The sequence below is a fragment of the Homo sapiens genome, chromosome 1, assembly GCF_000001405.40.
Source record: "Homo sapiens chromosome 1, GRCh38.p14 Primary Assembly".
NCBI lineage: Eukaryota > Metazoa > Chordata > Mammalia > Primates > Hominidae > Homo > Homo sapiens.
This window is the reverse complement of record NC_000001.11, coordinates 77,259,207-77,265,206: the sequence shown is the minus strand read 5'-3', so window position 1 is coordinate 77,265,206 and position 6,000 is coordinate 77,259,207.

The following is a 6,000-nucleotide window of genomic DNA, read 5'->3' as shown; positions in this document are numbered from 1 at the left end:
TGTCACTGTGAAGGGTGAATGAAGAAATTCAAGCTACTACCCCACATCAGTGGCAGCAGGTAAATATTCACTAACATCTATTGGCTTCTGGAACTTCTGCTAAACTGAATTTAGAATCTTGTTCTTCGTATCCTGGGATTTCTTCCTCTCCTCTCATACATTCCAGTGTCCATGCACACTAAATGATTTTTATTGTTGAAATTATATTTTCTGCTGAATGATAGTTATCTTTTGGTCTAGCCAAGTAGGCACCTTGCCCACATTATATGCTTGATAAATATTTGTTGAATAAAGAATTAACAAATCAAGAATATAGACTCAAGGATTTAAAATTTCAAAAGATATAGAAGTGAAAAAGAAAATTCTACTTTTTCACCTTCTATGCCAACATTTTATCCCATTGCCAAAGGGTACCTACTATTAGTAGGGTCTTATTTTTCTTTACAGAAAGTATCTATAAATATAAAAGCATATGCTTTTATTTTATGTAAATAGAATGAAGTTTCTATCTATTTGTCTCTGTTACCATATCATACAAAAATACCTAGGCGATATTCCATCACACTTGAGAGGAATTCATTTAAGATGGGTTGGTTTAAAATACAGACTGTGTAACAGAGATGAAATTCATTTTGGAGAAGCCAATGGGTCATTCCAAAAGAGTAGGCAGTTATCCTCTAAAGCAACTGACACTGACGTACAGGAAGTTTGTTTTGTACTGCCAACTGGAAGAAGTTCCACACAGATTAAAAGATCAAGGACAGAGAAACCAGACTAGAATTTCAGATGTGGATCCCAATGGGAAATTCATAGGGGTAGGCCCTTCAAATTGCAGTTGCTAATTTCTGATGAAGATCTTTCTCAGGTGAGAGTTTTTTGCAGTACTCTTTAGGAGGAGTAGCGACAGGGATTTATTTATATAATGTTGGTTCCTAAATTTCTCCAACCACTCTGGGCAGGTTTGCCAATTCTACATAGATCCTTTCCTCCCCAACATATCTTATTTTGCAGTGTACACAGCAAATATATGCATGTCTACTCTGAGCCAGGCACCATGTTAAGTGATAAGGCTATAAAAGTAAACATCTGAATCTTGACCTCACAGAGTTCAAGTCGAATTAAAAAAAAAAAAAATTCCACTAATGGTCTGGAGGGTATATCAGATGTCAATTTTGAGCCTGTCAGATGCATTTTGAGTCTGCAGTTCTTAGCCTTGAAGGGAGGAGAGCACAGAGAAGGCATCCCCAGATGCTATGGATGAGTTTTTGAATGGTCCCTTATGCATACATGTTCATTCATTCAACAAATATTTACTTACTGCAAATATTTGTTTGATATGCCTTTGTAGGTCACTCTGAAGACTTTAGCTTTTACTCTGGGTGAGATGGAAGTGATTGGAGTGTTTTGAGCAGAGGAATGACATGATCTGACTTACAGATTGACTATGGCTACTGTTTGGAGCACAGAGTCTAGGGATCAAGGGCAGAGAAACCAGGAGGCTATTACAATGATCCAGAGAGAGATGATGGTGGCTTAGATCAGGGTGTTGATGGTGGAGGTGATAAAAACCAGGCTGTTGATGGTGGAGGTGATAAAAATCAGTTGTATTTAGGTTATATTCTGAAGACATGTTTGATAATGGATTCGATATGGGATGTGACCATGTTATCAATCAAGAGTTGGATTTAACAAGGTTTAGGCTTTAGCCAAGCATGTAAGCTGTATGCTGAAGCATGATGAAGTAAGCATGAATACAAGAGGACTGATTATAATAATTGAACACAGACGTTAAGTTACAGGAAGAGGGCTGTGAGGACCTTGATGAGGTGAGGGAAAGTGAAAAGGTGGCAGAGTCAGTAGATTGTTGGCTTTGACATGGTCAGAAATCTTACCTTTGGAGACAGGGTTCTAAGAAAAATAGCGGCAGTGTGGTGGCTCATGCCTATAATCCTAGCACTTTGGGAGGCCAAGGCAGGCAGATTACTTGAGCCCAGGAGTTAGAGACCAGCCTGGGCAACAAAATGAGATCCTGTCTCTACAAAAAATACAACAATTAGCCTTGTGTAGTGGCATACACCTGTAGTTCCAGCTACTTGGGAGGCTGTATGGGAGGGTCACTTGAGCCTACAAGGAGGAGGTTGCAGTGAGCAGAGATTGTGCCACTGCACTCCAGCCTGGATGCAGAGTGAGACTGTCAGCAAAGGGGAGGGGAGGGGAGGGGAAGGGAAGGGGAGGGGAGGGGAGGGGAGGAGAGGACAGGGGAGGGGAGGGGAGGGGAAGGGAGGGGAAGGGAGGGGAAGGGAAGGAAAGGGAAGGGGAGGGAGGGGAAGGGAAGGAAAGGGAAAGGGAGGGGAGGGGAGGGGAGGGGAGGGCAGGAGATAGGAGGGGAGGGAAGGTAAATAGATGGCGGTGGGAAGACGGATGGTGGAAATTTAGGTTAAGGAAGAGTTGCAATTTTTGGTAATTTTAAAGTCTAAGATATACCATAAGAATGAGCAATGGTGGTGATAAACAGGATCCTGGAGAAGGGGAGGTAAAGGAAGTTAGAGGCTAGAGTATTGGAAGGATCATCTATGTGGATTTTGAAATCACTAAGAATTAAGACAGTAATAATGTTGAAGAGGGTGACCATGATCTGTAATTGAAATCTGGTGGATGCCTGCAACAAGAAGAGGCAATGGTATTGTCTAGTCAGGTGATATGAGATTCAAAGTTAGAGAGTTTTAGGGAGGATGAAAAGAGAATTATTTGGAGTGAAAAAAGGAGGACGCCTACTTCTGTGTTACCTGCAGGCATAATATTTTCAGAATATGAAAGAAAAACAGCTACCACATGAGAGGGCTCTGGGGAGAGCCAAGTTTACAGTAAAGCAAGAAGGTGAGAGAAATGTTGACAGAAGAGACTGAGAAAATAAGAGTTTGCTGATGATGGACTGTGAGTTCAAGAGGACATAAGTCTTTCTGCCTCCACTCCTTACTCTTGCCATTGGATAAATAGAGGCTGAGAGCATGGTGGTCTTATTCTGAGAGCCCCCTGGCAGGCATGAGCTTTCTAGGCTTTGATAAATCATGTATCATGGCATGTGCCAGAGAATGGATTTTGGGTTTCTGCAGTGGAAATGCCTTTTGTATTTTAGGGTTAATACATTTTGTCTACTATAGGAAGCACCTAGAAGTAGAACTAATCCACATACCCATTATGGGTTTTCTGTAATGGACACCTGAAAGGACTAATCAGAAATTTAGACAGGATCTATCTAGATTGATAATGGCATGGTAAGACTAGAACTCTTGAGCAAACAGTGGGGAACAAAGACTTCCTGAACCTCTCAGTAAGTCCCCTGTCTGATAAAGGAATTAACACTAAAATAGAAGAGAGTTGAGGTTCCTGAGAAATTTTGCAGTGCAAAACCGATTAATTTCAGTAATTCTGCTGGGTAAAAGTTCAGCACCAAAGACTACATTCATTACCTAGTTTTGCTATACTCACCCCCTTGCCTCTCTGCTATCTGGTTGGGGTGCCTGGGAAAGCCAGGGTTGTATACATCTGAAATTGATTAAATCTAACACTGCTTGACACTGAAGTAGCACACTGCTCCTTTTATCTTAATAAGTATTCTATGACATTAATTCAGAGTAGTAAATGGAGTTAGATTTTCTTTATAAAGCTTTTTTCATTAGTCTAAATTACACTACACTTTACTTACATCCCTCAGATGAAATAATGAATAAATTTTTAAAAGCACCTTCTTCCACGATATGATATTTTGAGGTAAAAACTGATCTTTTGTTCAAGTAATTTCAAAAACATTCTATTGACTTGTTTCTGGGAGATTCCATTTATATATTCATAGAATAGAAATTGAATGGTATTTCATATACTTAAGCTGTACAAATGATATTTGCTACCCTTTATAGCCATCGCTGGAAGAGCAGTAATAAAAAACTAAGTGAATGTATCAATTATATACAACAGAATGCAAATTTATTTTTCACCAACACCCATAACCTTATATATAATGCTGCAGCACTGTTACATATTGCTTAGGCACAATTTTGTCCTTAATTTTTTTTAGCATTTTTTGCCTTTTTTTGTCTCTATCAAAAATAGAATATTGTGATTTTTCATGGATCAAAATAGTTGTTAGGCTTGTATGTGTAGCAGATACAAGTTTCACAGACACAAATTCATGTGTGCAAAAATGGCAACTCACTTTATTTTCCCATAACTAAATTTCATTTCTACTTCTAGCTCCTGTTTCCTCCTGATGGCAGAAAGCTTTATCTTGTTACTTGAGGTAAACTCAGGAGAATACAGTAATTTCCCAATTATTTAGGTTTAAATGTAGTCCAGTTCAGAGCACTTTCTTTTCTTCCCTTCTCCCAGGATGGCATCTCTTTTAGCGAGGGGGCAGGGACTGGGGGCATCGCATATGGCATTATGGCATTGGATACGCAGAGAATTCTGCTCTGGAATTTACTGAGGTGGCTGGTAATTGTGCATGCTCACATACACTGGGTCTGCATCTGGTTTCCTATTTGCACAGTCCACATTGGTATCTTCAGATGTGGTCTTCATGGACTATAAGATATTTGGGCCTCTCGCTGTTTCCTTTGTATAAGTTATTCTCTGGAGTGAAGGGAAGGTTTGGTCAGCCTCATCCCTCTTTGGGGCTATGAACAACCCAGAGCTGCCATCAGGCTATCTGTCCCACTACTTCTTCTCATTGTGTTCAAAGCACTTCTTTGAGGTCATCTGTGTTTCATTTTCAGAGTTGCAGATATGAAGCAGACACAAATTCCTTTATGGAAATCCCCCAAAGTTTTATGGTGGGCCTGGTATCCACCACACTTCCCGAAGACCAGTTCTTGGAGTGGGCCGGAAAAAGACCTTCCATATGGACCTGTCAGGGACTAAGCTTTCTCCTTCTGCTCTTGAAACTTCTGAGAGGACGGCAAGTGCGTATTACTCTGGCTCTTTATAAGAAGAAATCCCAGACCTCAGTTCTACAGCTCAGTCTCTTAAAACTCAAAAACCTATTAACTTCAAGAGCCTAGTTTGAAATTCAAAATATGAGTGTTGACCATTTCTTTCTGCTACCCCCTGGAGGCAATGATGTCTTGACCAAGTAGTGGGAGCTACTTATGTGAGGAAGTGCTAGGGAATGGGCAGAGGATGAGGATGTAGAAGGGACTGGAAGACACATTGGTGAGTACCTGAAGCTATTATCCCACGGCATCTACTCTGACCTAGTGAACACTGCCATTTGTATATTCCTCTCCAGGTTCTACTACCTTCATCTATTTTAATTTTCTTCCTACCTTTTTCATCAGTCTGCTTTAAGTTTTTTCTTACCTCTTCAGTCACTTCAGTCGCTTCTTTTTTCTCTGTTTCTACTTTTTTTTCTCTGTTTTGTCCCAAACAGTGAGATTCTGATTTTGGCTCTTGATTGTTCTCCCTTCTTACCCTCTGTCTTTTTGAAACTTCAAGCATTTCTATACGATCCTGTGGTATATCTATACAAACTAATGCCTGGTTACCATCCTGACCTCCAATCTCACATTTCAATGACCATGAAGACATTTTTACTAGGGCCTATCATCACCTCAAAGTAACGTGTCCAAAAACATACTCTTCATCTTCTCCCCACCTTTCAAAACTAACTCTCACTTTCCTCCCCATTTTTCTGGTCACGGTGTTGACAATTATTCTTGCTTTTGGCTTCTAACAGTCATCAAATCTCATGCATTATTATTTTGAAATATCTCTTATATTTGCAACCCCATCTGCATTCTGACTCTCCCCAAGGGCCTGTGGCAGCCTATTAGCCCAGTAGTTGCACTCTGACTTAGGAATTTCCTACTGTTGCCTCCTTCTGCCCTGTCCATCCTGGCTGGATCTCTCGGTTACTTTTACCCTGTTTTGGCTCTACACCTTGGTTTCCACATTTCAACTTGCTTTTTAGATGGGTAAATAGATTTTGGGTGTTCTAGCCTGGCT